The 27,370-nt window shown below is 39.5% G+C and overlaps 1 protein-coding gene across 19 annotated transcripts in view, besides 2 other annotated features; it reads left to right on the forward strand.

Moving 5' to 3' along the window:
* Nucleotides 1-8,892: 8,892 nt before the first annotated feature.
* ZFYVE16 (zinc finger FYVE-type containing 16) overlaps nucleotides 8,893-27,370 on the forward strand; it is a 75,770-nt gene continuing 57,292 nt past the window's right edge. For 8 of the 19 annotated variants that reach the window (XR_007058663.1, NM_001284236.3, NM_014733.6 and 5 more), the window contains exon 1: nucleotides 9,347-9,436. The gene's annotated coding sequence lies outside the window, so the exon portion shown is untranslated. Of the gene's footprint in view, nucleotides 9,165-9,346; nucleotides 9,437-10,974; nucleotides 13,057-27,370 lie in introns of those variants that run through there. The other 11 variants (NR_146172.2, NR_146174.2, XM_017010091.2 and 8 more) reach the window with 4 other exon arrangements.
* Nucleotides 9,309-10,107: an enhancer, noted in NCBI's record as "H3K27ac hESC enhancer chr5:79703845-79704643 (GRCh37/hg19 assembly coordinates)". NCBI's record gives its function as "activates a minimal SCP1, AML or CMV promoter by ChIP-STARR-seq in primed H9 embryonic stem cells {active_cell/tissue: H9 hESC(primed)}" and the evidence as "EXISTENCE:reporter gene assay evidence [ECO:0000049][PMID:30033119]".
* Nucleotides 9,828-9,947: a silencer, noted in NCBI's record as "silent region_16138". NCBI's record gives its function as "represses an Ori minimal core promoter by ATAC-STARR-seq in GM12878 lymphoblastoid cells {active_cell/tissue: GM12878}" and the evidence as "EXISTENCE:reporter gene assay evidence [ECO:0000049][PMID:35858748]".

Genomic DNA, 27,370 nt, shown 5'->3' on the forward strand with positions numbered 1-27,370 from the left:
GCATGCACCACCACGCCCAGCAATTTTTTTTTTTTTTTTTTGTATTTTTAGTAGAGCGGGGTTTTGCCACATTGGCCAGGCTGATCTTGAACTCCTGACCTCAGGTGATCTCCCTGCCTTGGCCTCCCAAAGTGCTGGGATTTCAGGCATGAGCCACTGCCCCCAGGCAGAGTTATTTTCTTTTGCAAATATATATTGAAATATTTATGGATGAAATAATACAACATATGGCATTTGCTTTCAAATCATATGGGTATGTAATGGAATAGATGAAACTAGGTTGTCCATATTGCAGCTGGATTATGGGATTGGCTACGAGGGGATTGATTACATTATTTCCACTTTGTAGGTTTTCTACTTATCTTTTAAATATACATGTAGAAAAATTTAGAGATAAAATATATAATAAATGAGCTTTGCCTCAAGATAATCTAATTGTGGGGGAGAGGGGATAAAATGGGGTGGGTGTATAGATAAAAATAAGATCTGTGACAATGAATATAGAGTAATTCACTTGCAAAGGAAAAACATGCCAGGAAACAATGCTGTTGCAGATAGTCTCGTTGAAGCACTCTCTCAGTGTATCAATCAGAATAGCCAGCCACAAATCTCAGGGGCATAACACAAAGTTCCAGTTTATCTTCAAGGATAGACTGAATTATGCTGCGGTACTAAAGCACTCTCAAAATCCCAGGGCACAAAACAACAAGGTTTTTTTTTTTTCTTCCTCTAGATGTGTTCTGTTCATTGAAATCCCACAGAGACTCAGGCTGATGGAGCAGTCACAGTATCAAATCTTGTCTATTGTTATGCCAGAGGGAAAGTAGGATCAGTAGGATCTCACATTGGTGAGTAAAGAATTCAGTCCAGAAATGACATGTCATTTCTGCTCACAATTTATTTGCCTGAATCAGTCACATGGCCCTATTTAACCTCAAGGGGGCCAGGAAGTACGCTGCCATCATATGACCAGAAGAAAGAAGAACTGAAAATATTTGGCAAATAATTTGATGAGAGAACCTGTGTCATGATGTTGAAGCTGTATCATACTTGAGCCTTGGGAATGACTGTTTCTTGTTGCCACCTCTAAGGCAGCAACCAGACACAAGTGCTCATTCATCCTTTTGGTTTATTTGTGGCTTGTGATGCACAGTCATGCAATATACTGTATGCAGAGATTGCATCATAAATGTGAGGTAATAGGTTGACTTAATTATGAATTTAGCAATACTTTTAAAAAGAAAGAGTTCAATTATTCAAGTTTTTTTTTCTCAGAAAGAAGAGGGGAATCACTCATGATTTACCATCCAAAGATAATCACAGTTAATATTTTAGTGAATTTCTTTCCAAACTTTTCTTTGCATTTAAAAAAAATTAGTTCTCATGATCATCAAAACTGTAACCATTTTTTTCATTAGTGACTGTCATATTGTGCTGCTATAACAAAATACCTAAGACTGGGTAATTTACAAAGAACAGAAACTTATTTTCTTGCAGTTCTGGAGGCTGGGAATCCAAAATCAAGGTGTAAGGAGGTTTGGTGTCTGGGGAAGGTTTGTTCCTTCTATATAGTGCTGTTTTGGTGTCCTCACATGGAAGAGTGGAAGAGAGTGAACCCAAGTGCATTTCATAGCCCATTTTCATGCTGCTGATAAAGACATACCCAAGACTGGGAAGAAAAAGAGGTTTAATTGAACTTATAGTTCCACATGGCTGAGGAGGCTTCAGAATCATGGTGGGAGGTGAAAGGCACTTCTTACATGGCAGCAGCAAGAGAAAATGAGGAAGAAGCAAAAGCAGAAACCCCTGATAAACCCATGTCAGACCTCAAGAGACTTATTCACTATCATGAGAATAGCATGGAAAAGACTGGCCCCATGATTTAATTACCTCCCCCTGAGTCCCTCCCACAATGCGTGGCAATTCTGGGAGATGCAATTCAAGTACACCCAAACCATATCACCAAGCCCTTTTATTTATTTTTTATTTTTTAATTTTCTTTTTGAGACAGGGTCTTGCTCTGTCACCCAGACTAGAGCAGTTGTGTGATCACAGCTCACTGCATGCAGGTCTTGACCTCCCAGGCTCAAGCAATCTTTCTGCCCTAGCCTTCCTAGCTGGGACCACAGGCACACGCCACCATGCCTGGCTAATTTAACAAAAAAAGTTTTATACAGATGGGGTCTCCTTATGTCACCCAGGCTCCAAGCCCTTTTATAATAGTCCTAATCCTGTCCATGAAGACTATGCCCTCATCATGACCTAATTATTTCCTGAAGGCCCCACATCTTAATACTATCATATTGGCCATTAAATTCCAATACATGAATTTTGGAGAACATAGTCAATCAATAGCAGTGACATTGCTCCAAACAGCTGATCTTAATGGCCATGGACCAGCGGATAATTTTAACAAAGGTCTTATCTTCTTTAAAAAAGTTTAAAATTCCTTTTTCTTGAAATATGAGTGTTTTAACATGGTTATATAGCACTTAAATACCAGTGGATAACTAATAGTTCCAGGTCACATTTTGTGCTTTGGGGCAAAGAATCCCTAGTTCTAAAATTGCATGTTAGCATAAGACCAGCCAAGAAACAGGAAAGAAATGAAAAATTGCAATACTGCAGTTAAGTTTAATTTGCTTTTGGTATTTTCTTTACCCAGGTTACTTATGAAAAGTGAATAGGTTTGGGAGTTCATATTATTGTGGAATTTAAGCCTCTTAAAATCATCAGGATACCTGTTTCTCTTGAAAATAATAAAAACTGGCCAGGCGCAGTGGCTCACGCCTTGTAATCCCAGCACTTTGGGAGGCAAGGGTGGAAAGATCACTTGAAACCAGGAGTTTGAGACCAGTCTTGGCGACGCAATGAGACATTCCCACCACCCCTCACCCCCTCCCGCTGTCTCTAGAAAAACATTTAAAAATCAGCTGGATGTGGTGGTAAGCACCTGTAGTCCCACCTACTTGGGGAGCAAAGGTGGGAGGATCACTTGAGTCCAGGAGTTTGAGGCTGCAGTGAGCTATGACTGGGCTACTGTACTCCAGCCTGGATGATAGAGTGAGAGCTTGTCTAATAATAATAATAATAATAACTGTAGATTATTCAGTCATGGCTGGTTGGTCTAGGGAATAAATTGCCCAGACATGTTACATTTGGGATGATTTCCTCAAATGCAGAAACCACTGTTATAAACTGAGCTCTTTAGAGGCCAAAGCTGACACATGGAATTTTTTAGCAATTATGATCCAAACTTTGCCAAGGATACGTTTTCGTCAATATTTGATTTGACACTGAATTTGATATGCAGATTTCTTTTTCATTTCAATCAACAAAGGAATTCATGGAAAATTTAATTGACCAAGAATCTACACAAAGATCTTGTAACTTTATCACCTGCCATCAGTCTCTCAAATATCTGTTAGTAAATAAAAGAATGATACAGTGGATTGTGAACTTCTTCATGGCAAAAAACATGAATTATTCACCTTTCTTCCAACTCCTAGCATAATGCACTGCACAGCAGAAGAAACACCCATAAACAAATAAAGGTAATACAGAGTTCAATTTCATTTGTGTGTGAAAGGCATTTGAGTTTTTAGTAGCTTGTTGATTTTCCTTATTACTCAGTTCCAAAGCCAAAAACTAAGCCACATTTCTTGTATTTAGTGTTATAAAGTAACATGAATCTACAAAGTAACATAACTACATGTTACAAAATAACATGAAACCACTAGCTAACATAGCTACAATTGTTGAATCTGTTAACAAAATAATATAATCAATGTATTATAAAATAACAATTGGTTTTAAAAAATAATTTAAGGTTCATGCCATACTGACCATTTCTTTTTGCTTATTGAATATATGTGTAGAGAGGGGTTGGACCAGGTTAATTGAATAAGCTTTCATTTATTATAATGGTTAAGGAAATCACCTTAATATAATAAAACACAATTTAATTCTAAAAATTCATGTAACTTTATCTCTATTTTCTTTGTCAATTCAAAAGCACTGCAAGATCTTGCAATGACTGCAAGATCAATAGGAAAAACAATGCAATTATGTTTAATAAACTGTCTGGGCTTGGTGGCTCACTCTTCTAATCCCAGCACTTCAGGAGGCCAAGGTCGGTGGATGGCTTGAGCCCAGGAGTTCCAGACCAGCCATGGGCAACATGGCGAAATCCTGCCTCTACAAAAAATACAAAAGTTAGCCAGGTGCAGTAGCATGCGCCTATAGTCCCAGGTATTTGGGAGACTAAGGCAGGAGAAACACTTGAGCCACAGAGGTTGAGGCGGCAGTGAGCCGAGATCGAGCCATTACACTCCAGTCTAGGCAATGGGAGTGAAACCCTGTACCAAACAAAACAAAACAACAAAAAAAAAATGAATAAGTGTTTGTTGAATTAAACACCAGTTATTCCTCTTTTTTACTGTTGATATAGAAAGCTCATAAGATTTATTATGTTTATCAACAAATCATTGCTATGTCATTAATTTATTGTTTGTCATATATTTCTAAAGAACTCAGAAAAAATATTGGTTATTTGAGCTTTTTGACTTTATAACTTTAAGTAAATACAGTTGCTGTATTAAATACAAGGATCTACAGCGATTATCTGAGCACCACAACTAAAACTTTCCTTAGAGAATTGAAAAGCCTCTCTCACAAGAACCAATACTAAATTATAGCACTTTGTACAAAAGGAGAATGGGCTGTTGAGAGTGTGTTCTTCAGTTTGCTGTTTTGATAAAGGCCTTGACCAGTAAGTGTTGCTGTACTTAACAAAGTAGTTATAACAGCCTGTACTTAACAAAGTAGTTATAACAGCAGGGAGAAATCCTGAACTTCAGGTTTTGTTTATGGATGAGCAACAATGTTCATACTGCGAGAACACCTGGTTTACTTATAAGATAAAGGCTGAAAACAGTAGGTGATCAATAAATGACAGCTATTTATAAAGTGGTTCTTAGTAATAAGTGATGATACGTGTGTCTGGTGCAACTGAACAATAGGAATGGAGCATTTTTCTGTGCCAGAGTACAACTGACCAGCTGTCTGCTCCATAAAACTGGTCATTGTAGATTTTTTATCTCTAATCTAGTTAACTTTGGGTACTACTTGGTACAAAGTTTAATTTTCATTGGTATAGGGCCTTATGTAGAAGTTCAAAACCCAGTTCTGAATTTCTGAACTCACATTTGTGCCGCTGTGGTCATCAGAAAAAAAAAAAAAAAAGGAACTGTTTACTAGGAATTGGAAGAAATATACTAGCTTTAAACCACTCACTGGCTAAATCAGGGTTTCTCAACCTTGGCACTGTTGATATTTTAGGCTGAAAACTTCTTTGTTGTTGGGGGTTCTCCTGTGAATTGCAAGACAGTTAGCGGCATCCCTGGCCTGTATCTATTAGATATCAGTAGCATTCTTTCAGTGGTGACAACCAAAAATGCCTCCAGAGATTGTCAAACGTCCTCTGGGAGGCAAAATCACCCCTCACCTCCACAGAGAACTATTGGGCTAAAGTAGTAGTCATTGATTTGAACTTTGGTTTGTTGGTTGATTTCATCTATTTTTACTACTTTATAGATCAGAAGTTTTGTGGAACCCAAATTAAATACTCTTTCAAAGCATAATTAGGAAAGGTTATTATAATTCTAAACATCTACTAAAAGTATTGCAATTGCTTTGTTAGCAGATTAAATTTTTAGTAGACATTTGGCATTAAAAGGTAATCAAAGGCTACAAATTTTATATGAACAAACTTATTAATTCTCCTTAAAAAACAAAAACAGAAACAAAAACAGAGCAAACGAGTCTTCATATAGTGACAAACATGTGGAGTGGTCATCAAGTCCCTGTATCTTATTCTCAGTTTAGTAGACTAAGAAATTCAGTTTTAAAATGTATTTGCAAGTAATTGTGCTCCAGGGAACTTATACTTGCATTAGCCAAATTCATAGGCTACTGATATAACAACATGGATGTAACTGATCAATTTATAAAAAGAAATATAACCATCAAGAATAGCAATTGTTAGGCTGGCACAGTGGCTAATGTCTGTAATCCCAGCACTTTGGGAGGTTGACTACCTGATTACCTGAATTTGAATTCTAATTGGGAGGATTGCTTGGGCCCAGAAGTTTGAGACCAGTATAGGCAACATAGTGAAACCTTGTCTTTAAAAAAATAAAAATAAAAATTATCTGGGCATGGTGATGCACGCCTGTGGTCCCAGCTACTCTGGAGGCTGAGGTAGGAGGATCACTTGGGCCCCAGGAGTTGGGGCTGCAGTGAGCCATGATCCAACCACTGCATTTCAGCCTGAGTGATATAGTAAGATCCTGTCAAAAAAAGAAAAAAAAAAGAATAACAGTTATTCATCATTTACAGTCAGTGCTTCAGTTAAGTACTTTATGTGGATTATCTCAATCAATGTATTAGTTCTATTAGCATTTGACTACAGGAGCATCAAGCTTAGAAAATTTAGGCCACACAACTAATAGGTTATAGAATTAGAATTCAAATTCAGGTAATCAGACTCTAAAGACCATACTTGAAATGACAGGGGAAATGGATTCTTAGGTTTCCTGGTCAACTTATCACACTTGTTACATTAGAGGTTTTTTTCTTTTTCCCCAGAATATAAAGGTAATATATAGATGTTGTAGAAAATGTAGACTGTCCAGGATAATAACATCTACATTCTAATCAGATAGACATGACTACTATCAACATTTTGATATACTTTCTTCACTCTTTTACATACATTGTATACTATAGCTGACCTCATACTACATAGGCAATGTTAAATATTTTTAAATATTTAAAATGTTTTTTCATGAGGTAATTTCCTCAGGCCATTAAAAATTCTTTGTAAACATAATTTTAATAGTTTTAATCACATACATGCAGTAATTATTTTAACCATTCTCTTAATGGTGGATTTTCGACTTTTATCAATTTACTTACTATGGTTAAGTATCTTTCCATAGAGATCTTCGTCTTCTGGACTACCTTCTTATAACTTCCAAAAGAGAAATGATCAAATTGGGTCATGTGAACACTCATAAGGTTCTTGATATGATTTGACAAATAACTTTCCAAAATCTTTGTCCCAATTTATATCCCTCCCAGGGTATAAGTGTCCACTTCACTCTTCTGTCACCAATCGAGTTTATTCACATTTTAAACAGATTGGGTAATTAGATGCCAGACAACCTCTTTTTTGTCTCTGTTTATTATTAATGACTTTGAATATTGATTGGTAAAATGTGTAGTAGGCATTTAAATTTCATATTTTGTGAACTGACCATTGTATATACTTTCCCCATTGATCTATTTAAGGTGTTTGTGTCTTTTTTCTATTCTCTTTACCCTCACACTTTACCGTATAAATACTTCTGTCCCCAGTATGCATTTGTATATGTGAGTCTCTGCTACTAGACTGTGGTTCCCCATGGGCAGTGGCCCCATTTTATTTTATCTGTGAACAATGCCTAACACATAGTAGGAAAAAGGCATACTGTAGTTTGTAGAATTATTCTTAGGATTAAATGAGATAACGTAAGCAAAGCATCTAACACACTGTCACAAAGCAGATGCTCAATACACACATTACTTTAGGCAATCAAAAGTTTGGCTATTTCATTTTGTTGTTTAGGAAAACCAAGGTTAAAGATTAAGTATCTTTCAAAGATCAGGAACTATAGTTGTAAACTGCAGATTTAAGATGCGAACCCTGATTCTCAAATCTTTCATCACAAATCACATGTGGCTGGAATACTCGAAAAATTATAATTCTTGCAATTTTTTTTTTTTCTTTTTTGAGACGGAGCCTTGCTCTGTCACCCAGGCTGGAGTGTGGTGGCTCGATCTTGGCTCACTGTGACCTCTGCCTCCTGGGTTCATTCAATGGTCCTGATTGTCCTGCCTCAGCCTCCCAAGTAGCTGGGATTACAGGCGCCCGCCACCACACCCAGCTAATTTTTGTATTTTTAGTAGAGACGGAGTTTCACCATGTTGGCCAGATTGGTCTCGAACTCCTGACTTCAGGTGATCCGCCTGCCTCGGCCTCCCAAAGTGCTGGGGTTACAGGCGTGAGCCACTGCGCCCGGCCAATTCTTGCGATTTTTGAAAGATCAGTATGAACTGTGAGCTGTTTAACCTTTGAGGAACTGCTTTTTCCCTGTATCTGTCTGTATCTGATCCCACATGTATGTCTCTTCCCTTGTTTTTATTTTTTATTTTTTTAGAGACACGGTCTGGTTCTGTTGCTCAGGCTGGAATGCAGTGTTGCCATCAGAGCTCACTGCAGCCTTGACCTCCTGGGCTTAAGTGATCCTCCCACTTCAGACTCCCAGCCAGTAGCTGGGACTACAGGCACGCGCCAACACGCCTGGCTAATTTTTTCATTTTCATTTTTAGTAGAGACAGGGTCTTGCTATGTTGCCCAGGCCTGTCTGGAACTCTTGACTTCAAGCGATCCTCCCGCCTCGGCCTCCCAAAGTGCTGGGATGACAGGCGTGAGCCACCGCGCCGGGTCTCATTTAAATTTATAGGAAACTTGTGGTAAAAATAGCAAAACTCAACAAGCAAATATACATCAAGTGAGTGACATTTTATTTCTACATCAGATAAGTCAGCTTTTGCTTTTAGACAGGGAGACAGCTGTTCTACCAGCTGCTTTAAAATAAAAATGCAGAACTAACGCAGCGAAGGGAAGGAAAGTGTGGCTGGGAATGTCCAGTCAGCTGGAGGGGCTTGGAGCTCGGCGTTGGCTGGGAGCATTTTTATTGCTGCCGGGAGGAGGAAGGGGAAGCGGGGGAAGCGGGGGAGGCGGGGGGGCAGCGTGTTGTAAAATCAGTTTGAAGTAAACAAAAAGTTATGTTTTCCGAGGGGCCAGCAGCGCGGAGAGCAGGCCTAGCCCGCTGCCGGGAAGGCGGGTCTGTCCAGTAGAGACCGGAACGCCGCGCAGGCTCAGCAAAGGGCTAAGGCTGGAGCCGGGGAAGCTGCCTCTAGGTTAGCGAAGGGTAAAGGAAGTCAGACACTGACGCGAGTGGCCTCCCGATCCCGCAGTCGAGTGGAGAACCGAGTCCCGACCTAAGGTCGAATCATCAGGCGTCCCCGTCACCCAACAACCCACTCAGGCACTTCCGGTAAGAAATCTAGTGCCCTTGGCTCGGAACCTGCGTCGTAGTGCGCAAGCGCCCCGGGCCTGGAGACGGCCGCGGATGCCGAGGGAGGGGGCGTGTGAGCCGAAGAGGAAAGCGTCCTCTGCGCCTGCGCTCTCTGCGCTGCCCGGTGGGGCGGGGAAAGAAGCCCTGAGCCGGGATCTGGCACTCCCAGGACTCCCGGCCGGGGTAGCTCTTCACTCCTCAGCGCGACGTCGTGTCGAGTTCCCAAAAAGCTCCGCAGGGGCTGTAGGGAGGTAAGAGCCCCCCGTGACCGGTCGTCTCGGCCTCCCCTCAGCCCTGCTGTTCCCACAGGGGGGCGGGGTGACCGCTGGACCCGCCGACCTGGGCGCTGGGTCTGGCCCTCTTCCTCTGGGGACAGAGCCTGGGCCCCGACCGATTCCTTTTCCGAGCCCCCGGAGCTGGCCGGGGAACCCTGGCCCTCCAATCTGATGTCCCCTCCTGGAGCCTGAAGGGCCAGACCGGACTGGACCGGGAGGGCAATCACGGCGGCTGTTTGCCCGGTTCCCCGCTCCCGGGCCGCCGGAGTGTTCGGCGCTCCTGGGGGAGAGACCCCAGCGGACGGAGGGAGAAGCGCCCTGGCGCCGCCGTCCCGCCTGGGGAGGGGCTGCGACTGCGGAGGGGACTGTGGTTCTTCAGGAGTGGCAGAGGCTCGGTCCCCGCAGAGGAGTCTCATCGCCGCCGGTGCTCTCGCACTGTCCATTCCCGCACCCATGCATTTTCTCTTGGTTAGAGACCAGAAGGATGCAGTGGCCGTCTTTCCCGCTGCCTTTCCTTTGGTACTTTTGAGAACTCCAAAAGAGGACCTTATTTTTAACTCTTATTTGTACTATCGTGATTGCAAATATTATGTTCCAGACTAAGGATGTTCTTTCTTATTAGTTTGACTTGTATGAAAACCAGTCCATACATTTGATATTAAGTTAATCTTTTCAATTCAAAAAATAGGCACTTTGTTGATTCAATCAGATTCCTCCATTTATTCACTTGAGCTTGTCGTCTCTTGAGTTGGCGGGAGTTTAATGGTTTAATCCAGTAGAACTATATATAATTTTTCGCCTAATTTCTTCCTTTTTTTCCTCTCCTGGATATTAAACCGCATGCTTAGTGGCAAAAATTGAAAAAATAGAATAAAGAATAAGGAAAAATGATCAATCATAATTCCACCATGTAATAGTAATCAATTACTTATAATATTTTGACTTTTTTCCTTTGAGTCTTTTTTTCCCCTGTGCATTTTCTTGAGATGAGATTTTATATCGTTGGATTGTCTGCTTTCCTTGATTTAAATTACGTTGTAAGCATTTCCCCATGTTTTTAAAAAGCTTCATAAAAATGACTTCTTGATTATACATGAGCAAAGTATCTTTTGAAACAGTTATATTACAGATAAAGCCAAATCCGCATTAATTATCCTCAATCATAATGTTACATGATAGAATAGTGCTACAGTTCATTTAACATTATGATTGGGGATAATTACGCTTAAAAATTATTGAGGACCAATAGAGTTTTTGGTTCCTAATGCTGCAGTATATTTACCATTTTGGAAATTAAAACTCAGAAAATTGAAAATGTTTTATTCATTTAAAAATCACAGACTCATGTATTAAATAATTTTTTAGTGAAAAGTAACCATTTTCTAAAACAAAACTTAGAAGAGGAGCGTGGCATTGTTTCAAATTTTTGCGAATCACTTTAATGTCTGGCATTATAGAAGACAGCTGGATTTTCATGTTTGCTTCTGTTCAGTCTGTTGTGCTATCTGGTTTAGGTTGAAGCATATGAAGAAAACACCAGCCTTGAACAGATACGTAGCAGGAAAAGCGAGGATCTTACAAGCCTGCTGAAAGGCTCCTGGGGACATCCAGGGGTCCTGAGACCACAGTTTGAGAAAGCTGATTTAACCATTTTTGGATTGGTGGGCTGTTAGGTTGTTTAAAATTTTACACTGTTACAACCCTTGCAACAGTGAAAGTTCTTTGTGATGTTTTCTGGTGTATGCGTGCTAGTGTTTTTTCTGTAAGTAGAATTGCTAGGTCATAGAGTTTTGCTTTTTTTTAAGTTTGTTAAACACATTACTTTTGATGCCTGTATAATTTGCTTTTGTGCACTAATGTTGGTGTTTAGATTGTTTCAACTAATGATTTGGTGAAATATCTTTGCATGTTTTTAGTTGTTTTGAATTATTTTCTTTTTGAGGGGGCTGGGGGGAGTCCAGTAAAAACCAGACAACTGCCAGATACATTTTAAGAGAGCTTTAACACATGGATTCTTTTCTAAAATTTCTAAAAAGATAATTGTTAGATCAAATATTAGGAATCTTTCTCAGGCTATTGGTACATATTGTCACATTGTTTTCATGGGAGATAGTACCAGTTTGTTTCCTGTCAGCAGTGTCTGACATGCTTTAAAAAAAAAAATCACACCCTTACCAACATCGAGTACTTTTATTATTTTAAAAAATTGTTTCAATTTAGCAGGCAATAAATGGTATATGTTCTAATTCTCATTACTTTGATAGTGCACTGAATAATTTTCATAATCTTACTAGTTGTCTGTTGATGTTATTTGCTCGTTTATAGTCCAGTATCCAAGTGTTTTTCTAACACATTTTTATCTTCTTAAATATATTGTAAGGAAACGTGCTGTACTTTGTTTGTTTGTTTTTTAAGACAGAGTCTCGCTCTTTCGCCAGGCTGGAGTGCAGTGGCGTGATCTCGGCTCACTGTAACCTCTGCCTCCCGGGTTCAAGGGATTCTCCTGCCTCAGCCTCCTGAGTAGCTGGGACTACAGGCACGCGCCCCCATGCCCAGCTAATTTTTGTAGTTTAGTAGAGACAGGGTTTCACCATGTTGGCCAGGATGGTCTCGATCTCCTGACCTTGTGATCCGCCTGCCTCGGCCTCCCAAAGTGCTGGGATTGCAGGTACGAGCCACCTCACCCGACCTTAGGAAACGTGCTGTACTTTTTTTTAAAGGAAAACAACAAAATTATGTTTTCTCGGTTTACAAGAGCACATGCCTTTTTTTTTTAAATTTATTTTATTTTTATTGATTTAGTTTTTTGAGATGGAGTCTCGCTGTGTCGCCAGGCTGGAGTGCAGTGGCACCATCTCGGCTCACTGCAACCTCCGCCTCCTGGGGTTCAAGCGATTCTCCTGCTTTAGCCTCCCAAGTAGCTGGGGCTACAGGCACGTGCCACCACGCCCAGCTAATTTTTTTTTTTTTTTTTTTTTGTATTTTTAGTAGAGACAGGGTTTCACCATGTTGGCCAGGATGATCTCGATCTCTTGACCTTGTGATCTGCCCACCTCAGCCTCCCAAAGTGCTGGGATTACAGGCATGAGCCACCACGCTGGCCAAGTATATGCTTATAAAAAAAAAGTAAAATAGTATGAAGACATATCATGTAGCTCTGAAAGGCTTACATAATCCCATTCCTAGATTTATAGTATTACTAACATCATTAATGTTTGTTCCTTCATATTTTTTTACTATGCATTTGTTAATTTTTTTTACAACTTATTTGTAAAAATAGGTTTGCACTATGCATAAAGTTTTGTGATTTGATTTTCTTTCATTTAACATTATATATTGGATATTTTTCTACTGAAGTACATATAACTGGGCAAAGTTTTATCCTGAGTGGTTTTAGGAACATGAGTTGTGATCTTTAGTTATCTGATGGCAGGCTCTTGTCCTCTTCTAAATATATTCTCTTCCTAGGTGATCTCATCCATTAACAGCTGTGTGTTGCCAGTTCCCAAATCTTTATCTATCTCAGACTTCTCTCCTGCATTCCAGATTCTTATATTCAGCTGCCTTTTGGATATCTCTCCCAGGATGTTCTCAAGGTACTTCAAACAGTCCAAACGTGAACTCATGTTTTCCCTTAATCCTGCTCCTCTTTGTATTGCCTGTCATGGTCAGTGGCACCACCATCTACCCTAGCCACTCATGGTGGAAACCTGGCACTAATCCAGCTTTCTCCCTTGCTTTCGGTCTCCAAAACTTCTCATTATTTTGCCACTTTTATTTCATTTTATTATTTTTATTTGAGACAGGATCTCACTCTGTTGTCCAGGCTGGTCTCAAATTCCTGGGCTCAAGCTAATCCTCCCACCTCAGGCTCTGGAGTAGCTGAGACCACAGGCGGGCATCACCATGCCTGGCTCATTTTAGCCACCTTTATATGTATTTCCTTTTTTTCTCCACTGCATTATCTCAGCTCAGGCCTTCATCTCTTACCTTAACCATTTTAGGTGTCTCCTTACTGTTGGTTTTGTTGGTTTTCTGGTTAATCTTCCATGTTACTGCCAATTTTTGTAATCATGAAGAGATTTTTAAAAACCATTTTATTGTAAATATTACGAAGATTTTTTCTTAAATTTAAAAATATATAAATAGCCAAGTGAGTAAAAATACTACCTAAAATAAGTTATATGTATACATAAATAAACCTATTTTAAAAGGGAGTATATCTTATATTTCTTTTATGTCTTATACTGAATATGGTAGATTATTGGCACAAAAAGTACATACTGATTGATTGAAATGGGAAATATACACAGCTTAATGAGATTTCATGTTAAAACATTTCAGTATACCGTATTTACATTGTCATATCATACCTTTTACAAATTATATTATCTTTTTTTATATCTTTCTTGGCACCTGAAATTACATAATGCTTAGTAGAGCATTGCTATATAGATAGGAATGTTTTGTAAATATATGTTATTTAATGAATTCCATAATTTATTTCTAAAAAATTCTCTGGCTTTTGCTAATAAGAAACTATTTCTAGACCTTTCAGTTTCTGTGCTTAATTTGTTAAATACATCCTGTATTCAGAGTTCCGTTACTACTACTTTTTACTATTATGTTTATTTTAAATTTAATGTTTATATTTATCGAAGGGATACCTGTACATAAACAGTCAAATAGTACTTCAAGGATTATAATGAAAAACTGTCTGGGTGTGGTGGCTCACGCCTGTAATCCCAGCACTTTGGGAGGCTGAGGCAAGAGGATCACATCAGCCCAGGAGTTTGAGACCATTCTGGGCAACATAGTGAGACCTTGTCTCCACAAAAAATAAACAAAATTAGCTGGGTTGTGGGGCACACACCTGTTGTTCCATTTACTTGGAAGGCTGAGGTGGGAGGATCGCTTGAGCCCAGCACGTGGAGGCTATAGTGAGCTAATATCGTGCCACTGCAGTCCAACTTGCGCAACAGAGTGAGACCCTGTCTCAAAAAAGAAGAGAGGGCTGGGTGCGGTGGCTCATGCCTGTAATCCCAGCACTTTGGGAGGCTGAGGCAGGAGGATCACCTGAGGTCGGGAGTTCGAGACCAGCCTGACCAATATGGAGAAACCCCATCTCTACTAAAAATACAAAATTAGCCAGGCATGGTGGCGCATGCCTGTAATCCCAGCTACTTGGGAGGCTGAGGCAGGAGAATCGCTTGAACCTGGGAGGCGGAGGTTGCAGTGAGCTGAGATCGCGATATTGCACTCCAGCTTGGGCAACAAGATCAAAACTTCATCTCAAAAAAAAAAAAAAGAAAAAAAAAAGAGAAAAACAACAATCTTCTGCCCCAGTCCTTCTCACCCCTGAATCCCACTCTCCAGAAGCAGTCTTTCTCAATCAGTGCTTTCTGTCTGAATCACTGAACAAGAAAAATGATTTGAGCAACTATTTTCTTAATTCTCCCAAAGAGGGTAGGTAGCTAATAATATGATGGATGCATAGGAGAGAAGTTAGTTTATTACATAAAATGGAAGCCTTAGGGCATTAAAGATTAATTCTCTCGCCGAACCTTAATTGAGAAAGGCTGCTCCAGAGTCAGTGACTTCAATTCCTTATCACTTCCAGTTTTTTAAAATGACATATTTAGATATATGGCGATATCCCCTCCCCATTCCCATCCTAATGCGATTTGAAGTATAGTTTACTCATTTCCTATTACAGAAGATGGGAGTTTAGGTTTTTTGTACCAACTCCTACCTTTAAACACTGCATTTCACTTCCCCTCTCCCCTCTATATTCCCAAATTAGTTACATGTTAACTTTTAGTTATTTGGTGTTTACCTCATTTTAACTATGTAAATATTGTATGTAGCTGAACAAGGTAAGTGTGAGGTTATTTCCTTTCTTGTATAATTTTTGTTTTTCCTAGTTAATATCTTAATTCTTTTGTACATGTACCTTTTATATTTCTTTATAAATAAATGTTTTATATCTTTTTAATGTGTCTTTTGTATTCTTTATTTGATCTATTAATCTCTTGAACCAGATACATCAGTCTCCTCTTAGTAGATTCAAACACATCTGATAATCTGTTTTGCGACATCTTTCCTGCCTCCATCTTGATGGGTTGCTCTCTAGGCCTGTTGCACAACTCTCTTCCTGGACTGCCCTTTTACAGTCATCTGTGAATTGCATTTGTCTCTTCTGTGTGGGTAGCCTCTTTTTCTTGGATTTCAGGTTTTCCTTTTTCTTGGTGTCTCCCTTATATTGGCAGAGTATGTTTTTGAGTAGCTTCCTGAGAGAGACAGAATGGGATGCACATATTTTGGGTTCTTGCATGGTCAACCATTTTTTTATTTAACCCTCACATTTATGATAACCAATCCTTTGATTGTGACCTGTTATATCTCTTTGGAAGCGTTTATATTTATTCAGCAAGTATGTATTGAGCACATTTTATGTGCCGGGCACTGGTCAAGACATTTTGAATATATAGGTGAACAAAAATACAAGATTCATGTCCTTATAGAGCTTAAATTCAGGGAGGGAGGAGTTGTTCAACAGCAAATATAATAAATAAATTATACAAAACATTGGGAGTTTGTAAAGTAAATAACTGCTTTAGAAAAGAGAAAAAAGAGCAGGCTGGGGTGGGAAGTTCAGGAATGTTGGGGAAAGGAGAGGTAGGGGATGCAGACTGTAGTATTAAATGGGGTGATCCTCCCTTCAACCATTCAGGTGTTCTGAAATTTCACAATGATGTTGGTTGGTAAGAGTTTTTCATTCATGTGTTGGGCCCCAAATGGGCCCTTTCCATTTGGAGACCATATCCGTGGTTTATTTGACAGTTTCTTCTTTCCCTCCCTTCCTTCTTTCTGGACTTCTTTTATTAGAATATTAAACCTCATTAGATTGATTCTCTAATTTCTAATATTTTCTCTCCTGTTTTCTATCCCTTTCTGTTCTGTTTTCTAGGATATTTTCTCAACTTTATTTTATAACACCTTGATTGCATTTTTAAAAATAAACATTTTATTTTGGAACAGTTTTAGATTTACAGAATTATTGCAGACAGTATAGAGTTCCTATATACTCCACACCCAGTTTATTATTAACATCTTAGATTAATATGGTACATTTGTTATAATTAGTGAACTAGTATTGATACTTTATTAACTAAAGGCTATACTTTATTCGCATTTCCTCATTTTTCCTCTAATATGCTTTTTCTGTTCCAGGATCCCATCCAGGATACCACATTACATTGAGTAGTCCTGTCTCCTTAGGCACCTCTTGATTGTGATAGTTCTCAGACATTCCTTGTTTTTGATGCTCTTGAAAGTTTTGAGGGTTACTGCTCAGGTGTTTTGTAGAATGTCAGTTGAGATTTGTCTCATGTTTTTCTCGTTATTATATTGGGGTAATGTGTTTCGGAGAGAAAGACAACAGAGATAAAGTACAATTTTCATCAATACATACTGTCAGTGTGACTTGCCACTTTTCTTTTTTTTTTGAGATGGAGTCTCCCTCTATCACCCAGGCTGGAGTGCAGTGGTGCGATCTCAGCTCACTGCAACCTCTGCCTACCGGGTTCAAGCGATTCTCCTGCCTCAGCCTCTTGAGTAGCTGGGATTACAGGCACGTGCCACCACACCCGGCTAATTTTTGTATTTTTAGTAGAGACGGGGTTTCGCCATGTTGATTAGGCTGGTCTCCAACTCTTGACCTTGTGATCTGCCCGCCTCAGCCTCCCAAAGTGCTGGGATTACAGGCGAGAGCCACCACGCCCGGCCAACTTGCCACTTTTAATGTTAACCTTGATCACTTGACTTGAGGTAGTGTTTGTTAGGTTTCTTCACTTTGAAGTTAGTATTTTCTTTTTTTCTCCCTTTCTGTATTCTTTACTAGAAAGTCACTGTGCGCTGCACACTTAAGGAATGGGGAGTTCTACTTCCTTGAGAGCAAAGAGTCTAAATAAATTATTTGGATTTTTTTTTTATTTTTTTGCGTGGGAGATTTGTCTTTTCCCCAATTATTTATTCAATCATTTACTTACGTCAGTATGAATACATAGATTTTTTTTTTTTTTTTTTTTTTTTTTGAGACAAAGTCTCGCTCTGTTGCCCAGGCTGGAGTGCAGTGGCGTGATCTCGGCTCACTGCAACCTCCGCCTCCTGGGTTCAAGCGATTCTCCTGCCTCAGCCTCACAAGTAGCTGGGATTATAGGCACGCAGCACCATGCCCGGCTAATTTTTGTGTTTTTAGTAGAGATGGGGTTTCACCATGTTGGCCAGGATGGTCTCGATCTCTTGACCTCAGGTGATTGCCTGCCTCGGCCTCCCAAAGTGCTGGGATTACAGGCGAGAGACACTGCGCCCAGCCGATTTTTTTTTTTTTTTTAATGTGTTGGGTTATACTTCAGTACTGCTCTTTTATTTTGTCCCAGCTTTGGCCTTTGGGAGTTCTTTCACTTGGGTCTTGTATCTCTTTGACATACTCCCATTGTTGTATGTGTGTACATCAACTTTTACTTTCTGGCATTACAAGATGCTCTGTGCTCATTTTGTTTATTTCCTGCCCTAGTTTTAGAAACAGCCATTTTTCCAAGGAGACTTGGTTCCTTTTGTTGGAGAATTTTATTAGAAACCAAGATCTGGGTGCTAAGTATGTTCGTTGCCCCTGGGATGTTACTGCTTCTAGGCCCTCTAAGCTGACAAACACAAGGAGATATGTTAGTATATGTGTTTATACTAACCTGTATTACACATATATCTGTAAATATTTCTATGTGTGACCATCGGTATCCATATTAAGCTGAACATGAATTTATATTGATGTCTTCAGTTCAAATCCATTACCATATAGATTATTTTATCTTCCTCCCCTGCCATAACCTCCTCCTTCAACAGGGAGAAACTTGGCTTCCACGATCAGTCGTCCATTTACTTACTTGTTCAATTTCAGTATACAGATATAGTGATTTCAGAATTGTTAACCTGTACCACCATGGAAAACAACTTTATCAACTAGGGTAGAGTGCCTGTCTTTTCTTTCTTTAGTCTTACATATTCCACTCATTTCCAAAGGTCAGCACCTTATTCCTACGTCCCCTGTGATGAGGTTGTTTCATACATTTGGAATATAGTTAGACTTTTTGTCGCAGTCTGCATGCCAATCTAGGATCCCCCATTCTCCTAAATAATTTTTTGAAAATTTGCATGTTGAGGTTTATTCTTTATGCTTTGAAGTTATATGGTTATTAACGTGATTATCTTATATTCACCATTACTACCCTAAAAAGTCTGTGCTTCACATATCCAACTCTCCCCCACTTTAAACCACTGGCTATCATTGGTGTTTTACTGTCTCTGTAGTTTTACCTTTTCTAGAATGTTACATAATTAGAATCATGTAGTATGTAAATTCTTTCACTTGGCAGTATACAGTAAGATTCACTCGTGTTTTTGTGGCTTGATAGCTTCTTTCTTTATATCACTGAATAATATTCCATTGGATAGATGTGTGATGGTTTGTTTATCCAAATACCTAATGAAGTACATCTTGATTGCTTCCAGTTTTTGGCAGTTATGAATAAACCTGTTTATATGCATTCACATCCAAGTTATTGTGTGAATGTAAATTTTCAAATCAGATGAGTAAATACCTAGTAGCACATGATTGCTGGATTATATGGTAGTAGTAAGTTTTGTAAGAGACCGCCAAATAGTCTTCCAAAGCAGCTATACCATTTTGCATTCTCACTGGCAATAATAAGATTTTCTCTTGTTTGGCATTGTCACAGTGACATTCTAGTAGATGTGAAGTGGATATCTCATTGTTCTAATCTGCAGTTCCCTAAAGACAAATGATGTTCAGCATTTTTCATATTCTTATTTTCCATCCTTATATCTTCTTTGGTAAGATGTCCATTCAGTACTTTTGCCAATTTTAAAATTGGATTATTTTCTTTCTTCTTTTCCTTTTCTTTCACTTTTTGCCTTTTCTCTCCTTTCCTTTCCTTTCCCCTCTTCTCTCCTCTTTCTCCTCTCCTCTCTCCTTTCTCTTCTCCTCTCCTCTTTCCTTTCCCCTCCTCTTTGCTCTTTCTTTTCCCTTCCCCTCCCCTCCCCTGCCCTCCCCTCCCCTCCCCCTCCTTTCTTTTCGACAGGGTCTGACTCTGTTGCCTAGGCTGGAGTGCAGTAGCACGCTCATACCTCACTGTAACCTTCAACTCCTGGGCTCAAGCTATCCTCCCATCTGAGCCTCTCAAGTAGCTAGAACTATAGGTATGCACCCCCACACCTAACTAATTTTTAATTTTTTTCTTAGAGATGAGGTTTCTCTATGTTGCCCAGGCTGGTCTTGAACTCCTGGCCTCAAGTGAACTTCCCACCTCAGCTTCTTAAAGTGCTGGGATTACAGGTGTGAGCCACTGTGCCTGGCCTTGGATTATCTTCTTGTCAAATTTTAAGAGTTCTTTATAGAGTTTTAGATACAAGTCCTTAATCAGATATGTGTTTTGCAGATATTCCAGTCTATGGCTTGTCTTCTTATTCTCTTAACAGTATCTTTTGCAGAGTGCAAGTTTTACATTTTAATAAGATCAAACTTACCATTTTTTCTTTCGTGGATCATGGTACTGGTATTGTATTTAAAAACTCCTCACCAAACCCAAGGTTATGTAGATTTTCTCCTGTGTTTTCCTGAAGAAATTTTACAATTTTGAATGTTAAGTTTAGGTTACCCACTTTGAATATGTTTTTATATAAGGTGTAATGTCTGTGTCTAGGTTCATATTTTTCATAGAGATGTCCAGTTTTTTCAGCACCTGTTATTGAAAAGACTGTCCATTCTCCATTGAATTGCCTTTGCTCCTTTGTCAAAGATCGGTGTGGGTTTTTTTTTTTTGGGGGGTCTTTTTTTTTTTATGCAGGGTCTCACTCTGTTGCCCAGGCTACAGTGCAGTGGTGTAATCATGGCTCTCTGCAGCCTCAGCCTCCCTGGTTTCAGCTGATTCTCCCACCTCAGCCTCCCAAGTAGCTGGGACTACAGGCGCATGGCACCATGTCCAGCTTATTTTTTATGTTTTGTGGAGACAGAGTTTCTCCATGTTGCCCTGGCCGGTCTTGAACTCCTGGGCTCCAGCATTCTGCCTGCCTCTGCCTCCCAAGTGCTGGGATTATAGGCGTGAGCCAACCATGCCTGGCCATTTCTGGGGTCTATTCTGTTTTATTGATCTACGTGTCTGTTCTCTTGCCAATACCAAATTGCCCTGATTACTAGAACCTTCTTGTGCATCTTTAAATTAGGTAGTGTGAGTCCTCCAACTTTGTTCTCCAGTATCACTTTAGCTATTCTAGATTCTTTGTCTTTTCTTATTTTTATTTTTAGTAGAGACAGGGTTTCACCATGTTGGCCAGGCTGGTCTCGAACTCTTGACCTCATGATCCGCCTACCTCAGCCTCCCAGAGTGCTGGGATTACTGGCATGAGCCACTGCGCCTGGCTGATTCTTTCTCTTTTCATATAAACTTCAGGATTAGTTTCTTGAGGCCTACAGAGTAGCTTGCTAGGATTTTAGTTGGGATTGCACAAGAATCTAGAGATCAGGTTGGGAAGAATTCATGTCTTTGGTTTTTTTTTGTTTTGTTTTATTTTTTTGAGACAGAGTCTCACTCTGTCACCCAGGCTGGAGTGCAGTGGTGTGATCTTGGCTTACTGCAACATCCGCCTCCCGGGTTCAAGCGATTCTCCTGCCTCAGCCTCCTGAGTAGCTGGGATTACAGGTACACTCCACCACGCCTGGCTAATTTTTGTATTTTTAGTAGAGACGGGGTTTCACCATGTTGGTCAAGCTGGTCTTGAACTCCTGACCTCGTGATCTGCCCACCTTGGCCCCCCAAAGTGCTGGGATTACAGGCGTGAGCCAGCGCGCCTGGCTTTTTTTTTTTCTTTTGAGACAGAGTTTAGCTCTGGCACCCAGGCTGGAGTGCAGTGGCACAATCTCAGTTCACTGGAACTTCTGCCTCCCAGGTTCAAGGGATTCTTTTGCCTCAGCCTCCTGAGTAACTGGGATTATAGGCGTGTACCACCACGCCCAGCTAATTTTTATTTTTATTATTATTTATTATTATTTTTTATTATACTTTAAGTTCTAGGGTACATGTGTACAACGTGCAGGTTTGTTAACATATGTATACATGTCCCATGTTGGTGTGCTGCACCCATTAACTCATCATTTACATTAGGTATATCTCCTAATGCTATCCCTCCCACATCTCCCCACACCACGACAGGCCCTGGTGTGTGATGTTCCCCTTCCTGTGTCCAAGTGTTCTCATTGTTCAATTCCCACCTATGAGTGAGAACATGCAGTGTTTGGTTTTTTGTCCTTGCGATAGTTGGCTGAGAATGATGGTTTCCAGCTTCATCCATGTCCCTACAAAGGACATGAACTCATCCTTTTTTATGGATGCATAGTATTCCATGGTGTATATATGCCACATTTTCTTAATCCAGTCTATCATTGATGGACATTTGGGTTGGTTCCAAGTCTTTGCTATTGTGAATAGTGCCGCAATAAACATATGTGTGCATGTGTCTTTATAGCAGCATGATTTATAATCCTTTGGGTATGTACCCAGTAATGGGATGGCTGGGTCAAATGGTATTTCTAGTTCTAGATCCCTAAGGAATCGCCACGCTGTCTTCCACAATGGTTGAACTAGTTTACAGTCCCACCAACAGTGTAAAAGTGTTCTTGTTTCTCCACATCCTCTCCAGCACCTGTTGTTTCCTGACTTTTTAATGATCGCCATTCTAACTGGTGTGAGACGGTATCTCATTGTGGTTTTGATCTGCATTTCTCTGATGGCCAGTGATGATGAGCATTTTTTCATGTGTTTTTTGGCTACATAAATGTCTTCTTTTGAGAAGTGTCTATTCATATCCTTCGCCCACTTTTTGATGGGGTTGTTTGTTTTTTTCTTGTAAATTTGTTTGAGTTCTTTGTAGATTCTGGATATTAGCCCTTTGTCAGATGAGTAGATTGCAAGAATTTTCTCCCATTCTGTAGGTTGCCTGTTCACTCTGATGGTAGTTTCTTTTGCTGTGCAGATGCTCTTTAGTTTAATTAGATCCCATTTGTCAACTGTGGCTTTTGTTGCCATTGCTTTGGTGTTTTAGACATGAAGTCCTTGCCCATGCCTATGTCCTGAATGGTATTGCCTAGGTTTTCTTCTAGGGTTTTTATGGTTTTAGGTCTAACATTTAAGTCTTTAGTCCATCTTAAATTAATTTTTTATAAGGTGTAAGGAAGGGATCCAGTTTCAGCTTTCTTTTTATGGCTAGCCAGTTTTCCCAGCACCATTTATTAAATAGGGAATCCTTTCCCCATTTCTTGTTTTTATCAGGTTTGTCAAAGATCAGATGGTTGTAGATGTGTGGTATTATTTCTGAGGGCTCTGTTCTGTTCCATTGGTCTATATCTCCATTTTGGTACCAGTACCGTGCTGTTTTGGTTACTGTAGCCTTGTAGTATAGTTTGAAGTCAGGTAGCGTGATGCCTCCAGCTTTGTTCTTTTGGCTTAGGACTGTCTCGGCAATGCGGGCCCTTTTTTGGTTCCATATGAACTTTAAAGTAGTTTTTTTCCAGTTCTGTGAAGAAAGTCATTGGTAGCTTGATGGGGATGGCATTGAATCTATAAATTACCTTGGGCAGTATGGCGATTTTCATGATATTGATTCTTCCTATCCAAGAGCATAGAATGTTCTTGCATTTGTTTGTGTCCTCTTTTATTTTGTTAAGCAGTGGTTTGTAGTTCTCCTTGAAGAGGTCCTTCACATCCCTTGTAAGTTGAATTCCTAGGTATTTTATTCTCTTTGAAGCAATTGTGAATGGGAGTTCACTCATGATTTGGCTCTCTGTTTGTCTGTTATTGGTGTATAAGAATGCTTGTGATTTTTGCACCTTAATTTTGTATCCTGAGACTTTGCTGAAGTTGCTTATCAGCTTAAGGAGATTTTGGGCTGAGACAATAGGGTTTTCTATATGGGGTTTTCCTTTTCTTGTCTTATTGCGCTAGCCAAGGCTTTCCGTATTATGTTGAATAGGAGTCATGAGAGAAGATATCCTTTCCTTGATCCCAATACTTGAGGCAAGGCAGTTTCTTATTAAGTATACTGTTAATTGTAGATATTTTATACTTATTCTTTATCAGATTGAAGAAGTTTCCCTCTACTCATAGTTTGCTAAGAGTTTTTCTCATGAATGTATATTGTATTTGTTTTGTTTTGTTTTTGAGACAGAGTCTCGCTCTGTCTGTTTCCCAGGCTGGAGTTCAGTGGCGTGATCTCGGGTCACTGCAACCTCCGCCTCCCGGATTCAAGTGATTCTCCTGCCTCAGCCTTCTGAGTAGCTGGGATTACAGGTGCCCGCCACCATGCCAGGCTAATTTTTTTATTTTTAGTAGAGATGGGGTTTCACCATGTTGGCCTGGCTGGTCTCAAACTCCTGACCTTGTGATCTGCCCGTCTCAGCCTCGCAAAGTACTGGGATTACAGGCATGAGCCACTACGTCCAGCCTGGATATTGTTTTTATTAGCATCAATTTATGTGATTATATATGTCTTCCTTAGTTTGTTAATATGGTAGATTATATTGATTAATTTTGAAATGTTGAACCAGCCTTGCATACCTGGATAAATCATATTGGTCATGATGTATAATTTTTCAATACATTGTTGGATTCAATTTGGCACCATTTTCTTGAGCATTTTTATACCTATGTTCATGGGCAATATTGGTCTGTAGTTTTCCTTTCTTGCAGTGTCTTTATCTGGTTTTGATATTAGGATAATGCTGGTCTTATAGTATAAGTTAGAAGTGTTCCCTCTGCTGCTTTTTTCTGGAAGAGATTATAGAGAATTGGTATTATTTTTTCTTTAGATGTTTGGCAAAATTCAGCAGTGGATCCATCTGGATCTGGTGATTTATTTTTATGGAACGTTATTAATTATTTATTTAATTTTTAAAATAGATGTAGGGATTTTGGGTTATCTGTTTCTCCTTGTATGACTTTTGGCCGTTTATATCATTTGAGGAATTGGTTCATTTCATCTAAATTACCAAATTTGTGGGCAGAGTTGTTAATAATATTCCTTTATTATCTTTTTTGTATCCGTGGCATCAGTAGTGATGACTCCTCTTTTATTTTTGTAATTGATCGTTTATGTCTCTGTTAATTAGCCTGGTTTATCAATTTTATTGGTCTTTTAAAGGAATGAGTTTTTGTTTAATTGGTTTCCTCTATTTCTCTATTGTTTTCCTGTTTTAAATTCCATTGATTTCTGCTCCAATTTAATTTTTATTTTTTATTTATGTATTGAGATGGAGTCTTGCTCTGTTGCCCAGGCTGGAGTGCAGTGGCAAGATCTCAGCTCACTGCAAGCTCCACCTCCCAGGTTCACGCCATTCTCCTGCCTCAGCCTCCCAGGTAGCTGGGACTACGGGCACCCGCCACCATGCCTGGCTAATTTTTTTTGTATTTTTTAGTAGAGACGGGGTTTCACCTTGTTAGCCAGAATGGTGTCGATCTCCTGACCTTGTGATCCGCCCACCTCGTCCTCCCAAAATGCTGGGATTACAGGCGTGAGCCACTGCGCCTGGCCGATTTCTGCTCTAATTTTTATTTTCCTACTTGTTTTAGGCCAAAATTATTTTTGTTTTTCTAGTTTCCCAAGGTGGATGCTTATTGATTTTAGATTTTTTTTTTCTTTTACTTTTTCTTTTTTTTGAAATGAAGTTGCACTCTTGTTGCTCAGGCTGGAGTGCAATGGTGGGATCTTGGCTCACTGCAGCCTCCACCTCCCAGGTTCAAGTGATTCTCCTGCCTCAGCCTCCCGAGTAGCTGAGATTACAGGTGCCTGCCACCATGCCCAGCTAATTTTTGTATTTTTTAGTAGAGACGGGGTTTCACCATGTTAGCCAGGCTAGTCTCGAACTCCTGACCTCAGGTGATCCACCCACCTTGGCCTCCCAAATTCTTTTTCAATATATGCATTTTTAATGCTGTCACTGTCCCTTAAACAGTGCTTTCACTGCAGCTCACAAGCCTTGCTTGAATTTTAAGATTTCTGCGATCAGGTTCCATGACCTTTTTTTGTTCTCTATATGTAGTTCTTATTTATGGCTTCCTGTTCCTGTTTCATGGTTGCATTGCTTTTTTGTCTCTGAGAATATTAATTAGCTTCTTTGAAGTTTTATTCTGCCTCCTGCATTGTGTCTTCCTCCAAATTCCTTTTTTTTTTTTTGAGACAGGATCTTGCTCTGTTGCCCAGGCTGGAGTGCAGTGGTGTGATCTTGGTTCACTGCAACCTTTGCCTCCTGGGATCAAGTGATTCTCCTGCCTCAGTTACCTAAGTAACTGGGATTGCAGGCATGCACCACTATGCCCAGCTAATTTTTGTACTTTTAGTAGAGACGGGGTTTCACTATGTTGGCCAGGCTGGTCTCGAACTCCTGACCTCAAGCAGTTCACCTGCCTTGGCCTCCCAAAGTGTTGGGATTACAGGTGTGAGCCACCACGCCTGGCCTCTGAATTCCTTTTGTTTGTTTGGTATCTGTTTATTTTGTGCACTCTTCTATGTGCGTGGTATAACCACAATTTAAAAATTGAAACAAAAAAAGGTAACATGCTTCATTGAATTAAGATGCCAAACCAATGTTATTGAAAATTCTTCTGAAGTGTACCTGTTAGTTTTAAGTTTGTTGCCAGCATAATTATTGTTCATTTGAAAGCGACCTTTGCTCTCTGGCTGTTCTATCTTTGGGGTTTAGTAGTTTTACAATAGTGTGTCTAAATGTGGATTTCTCTTTGTATCGTCTGGTGTAATATGTTACCTGTATCTGTTGAGTTGGCTTTTTCATCAATTCTGGAAAAACTCCCAGCATTATCTTTTCAAATATAGTTGTTCCATGCTGTCTTTTCTCCTTAGAGTACTCCATTCTCATTTTGTCTTCAATACCTTTTAACCTAGTTTTTGTATTTTTCTCTTCCTCGTCCCTCTGGGCATTACTTTAGGTAATTTCTTCAGATAGGTCTTCGATGTCATTCAGTTCTCTCTTAAGCTCTGCCTAATTTTCAAGCCCATTTTTAAAGTATCTCTTATTTATTTATTTGTCTGGACCTCAGATGTCCTTAGTTGATGGCACACAATCATAATTAGTTCTTGTAAAACCCTCTTATTTGTTTATTGTCTTTTACTCCCGTTTACCCTTCCTAGTCCCCATGCTAGGTAGCCAAACAGATGTGTTTAATAATGTATATTCTTTTGTTTGTATTTATTATTACAAATTTGTATAGTTTCATTGTATTTTTAAAAAGTAAGAGTTTGCAATGGATTGGAGGTGTAAGAAAAATATTTACCATAGGCAGTTTGAGGAATGTTGCTGTACAGTGTTTCACCTTCCAGGATTAGCTTAGTTGATTGCTTTCTTTTTATGTTATTTAACTTGTCCCTTATGCTTGACTTTCCTGTAAACATGCAGTTAGTTTGATTAGATTCAGATGCAGTTTTTTTTAGGCAGTAATATTTTTTAGGTGATATTGTTCTTCCACATTTATTGATGGTGAAATTGATTGTTGGGTTTGGATGTGTTGACTTGATCCCACCATTATAAAGTTCCCCGTAAACCTTTTTCTCTAGCCTTGTAAACATCCATTTATAGCCATGGCCTAGTCTGTTTATTGCATTCGGGATTATGAAGAGATGAATTAAAAATTTTTAACATCCTTTTGTACTTATTAACTGGAATTCTTATCTAAAGAACTTTTCATCAGTAATTATTTTGTTACAAAGTATATTTTGTAAATAAAGGGCAGGATAAATTTTTCTCTTTTAATGACAAAGCTTTATTGA

This window comes from Homo sapiens, chromosome 5 (genome assembly GCF_000001405.40).
Source record: "Homo sapiens chromosome 5, GRCh38.p14 Primary Assembly".
Classification (NCBI taxonomy): domain Eukaryota; kingdom Metazoa; phylum Chordata; class Mammalia; order Primates; family Hominidae; genus Homo; species Homo sapiens.